The 2,542-nt window shown below is 52.4% G+C and overlaps 1 annotated feature.

Moving 5' to 3' along the window:
• Window positions 331-831: an enhancer, noted in NCBI's record as "H3K27ac hESC enhancer chr10:132294461-132294961 (GRCh37/hg19 assembly coordinates)". NCBI's record gives its function as "activates a minimal SCP1, AML or CMV promoter by ChIP-STARR-seq in naive H9 embryonic stem cells {active_cell/tissue: H9 hESC(naive)}" and the evidence as "EXISTENCE:reporter gene assay evidence [ECO:0000049][PMID:30033119]".

Below are 2,542 nucleotides of genomic sequence, written 5' to 3' on the forward strand. Positions count from 1 at the left end.
CCCCTGAATATGCTGTGCACAGCAGCTGCCGGACCCCAGATAATTTATTGGGGTCTGAATTTGGAAATTTTTTGATGAAATGGGTAATGGCCATTTAGCTGTGTTTCTCTTCTCCTCCCAAATCCACAGTTTCCAGGACACGGTTGGGGCAGCCAAGCTAAGGAGCTGCTGGACCTACAGAACTGTGAGCCCCACCATTTCCCCGTGGATTCTGAGTGACACGGTGGTCCTGGCCTGAACTGGCCCCAACATTTCCCCATGGACTCTGAGTGACATGGCAGCCCTAGCCTGAGCCGGCAGGACAGTCGCTGGCTGCCTGTGCTCCTGTGAACCCAGGGCCTGTCTCAAGGCCTGCCTGCTCTCAGTCAAGCCTGCTGGTGGGTGTGGGGCCCTTTCCCTACACACGGTCCAATCGTGATCAAAGGAGGATGAGGATGGAGAAAAGTGTCCTTCCAGTTCATTCAGACAGTAACCTTCTGCATGATGACTTACTAGTACACGGGATGGAGGTGACCTTCTGCATGATGACTTCACTAGTACACGGGATGGAGGTAACCTTCTGCATGATGACTTCTCTAGTACACGGGATGGAAGTAACCTTCTGCATGATGACTTCGCTAGTACACGGGATGGAAGTAACCTTCTCAGTGATGCCTTCATTAGTACACAGGATGGAAGGGAAGGGTTTACTCTTAAGCCATTTGCAGCATTTCACCCTGTGCCTTTTCTGCATGAATCTAGAATCCCCACACTTGTGGAACATCCAACGAGCTTCCCTCCAAGTTCCTTAGATTCGGGTCTAGGAATTAGATACATTTTATGTATTATCGATGGCATCTTATATGAGTAAACTGCATCACTCATGCAGTCTTGCAATCCGACAGTTTCAGTCTATTAGGATTTTGTTGCTGGAGGGGACAGCTGGTGGGTTGTTTGAACCCTAGGGCAGAAAAGCACACTGAAAAGGCAGAACATTTAGCTTTCAGTAAACCCATTACCTCGTTACACTTTATTTATGGTGGTGGTTCCCTCAGACTCTAAAGTTATTTTCTTATTTATTTTGCAGAACATTCCGATGTCTCCATGGATTTTACAGTGTGCTGCACAGACCCATGGCACAGTGAGTAGAAAGTCATCTAAGTGTCTAGTCTTCCTGGGTCAGCAGTATAGAATGCGTTCAGGAGTGTGTGACTCTTGTACACTTCAAAAGCCTGGAGACAAGTGCTTCCCAGCTGTGCTGCAGAAGTGGGCCCTGGGTGCAGAGCCGGAAGCTTCCAGATTCTCTGCATGGCTGACCCAGAGCTGCCTCCACATCCCTGGCTGCTCAGAGAGGCCTGAAGGCCCCAAGAGCAGATGTCGGGGAGCGGGTGGCTCTGGCCATATTGAGGCAGGGCTGCTGGCTCCTGTTTCAACCTCTCTGCCTCTGAGCTGGCTGTCCTGGGATGCGTGGGTGTGGGCATGGGCGTAGGGGCATGGAAGGGGACCATGTCCTGCAGATGGACGTCTAGCTAATGAGGATGCTGTGGGAGCGTGTCCTGGGGTCACTCCCTGCTCTCTGGATTTTCTAAGTACAAGCATTCAAAACATTCTGGGGTTACAGCAGAGGCATGGCCTCTGACAGGCAAGGATGACATGTGGCCAGACACACCTGGACGTTGTGGGGAGTAGGTCGCTTTAGGAACCCTGTGGCCAGGCTCAGCTTAGAGCTGGGAAGAGGTCCGGGAAAGGTCTGTGGTATGCCTGGCACTAGCCCTGTGCAACCAGGCCCGTGTGGACGGTCCAGGCCATGGCCAAGGTGAGGCTTTTGTCTATTTATCTTAGAAACACAGAGGATATTTCCATTTTTATGCACCATTTTCTGAATCAGCCACATAATCATTGGTTCCTACAGCAAGAATTTCACCAGATTCCGGGTTTTATTAATTCAGCGGGAAACGCTCGCTGCCTCCTCTGTGCCGAGACCTGTTCCAGGTTCTGGAGATGCATAAATAATGACCTGTGGTTCGTGCTCTCTGGAGGTACCTGTGCTGTAGAAGAGAAAAAGGTACACGTGCTCAGAGCATGGTGAGATGGTTCATCGGCGAAGGTCTACACCCAGAGATGGGGAGGCTGGTCCCAGATCTCAAGGGATGGTCCCTTCTTGGAATCAGAATCGTCTGCATGAAGTGGTGGTGGGATGCAGAAACCCGGGGTGAGGCAGCAGCCCTGGGGGCTGGATCCGGGAAGGTCCTGAGATGCTTCTGGTCAGGACTCAAACTCCAGGAAGGGATGCCTCAATGTGAGACACTGGTGCCTCCTTGGTGAGGTAGTGATGGGGGCACCACTGCCGTGCTGGCTCTGGGGATAATTCCCCCCAGGGGGTTTGGGCTCAGAGGCAGGGCCCCACCGCGTGTTGGAAAGACAGGGCGTGGTGTTTCAGGAGACTGGTCACATAGAGTGAGGACTAGACCTGTGAGCTCACAGAGCAAAGGGCCACAGTCAGGTCCTGGCTCTGCCTCCTTGAGCAGCTGCTCGGCCTTGACCTGCCTCAGTTTCCTCATCC

The sequence above is a fragment of the Homo sapiens genome, chromosome 10 (genome assembly GCF_000001405.40).
Source record: "Homo sapiens chromosome 10, GRCh38.p14 Primary Assembly".
NCBI classification, from domain to species: Eukaryota; Metazoa; Chordata; class Mammalia; order Primates; family Hominidae; genus Homo; species Homo sapiens.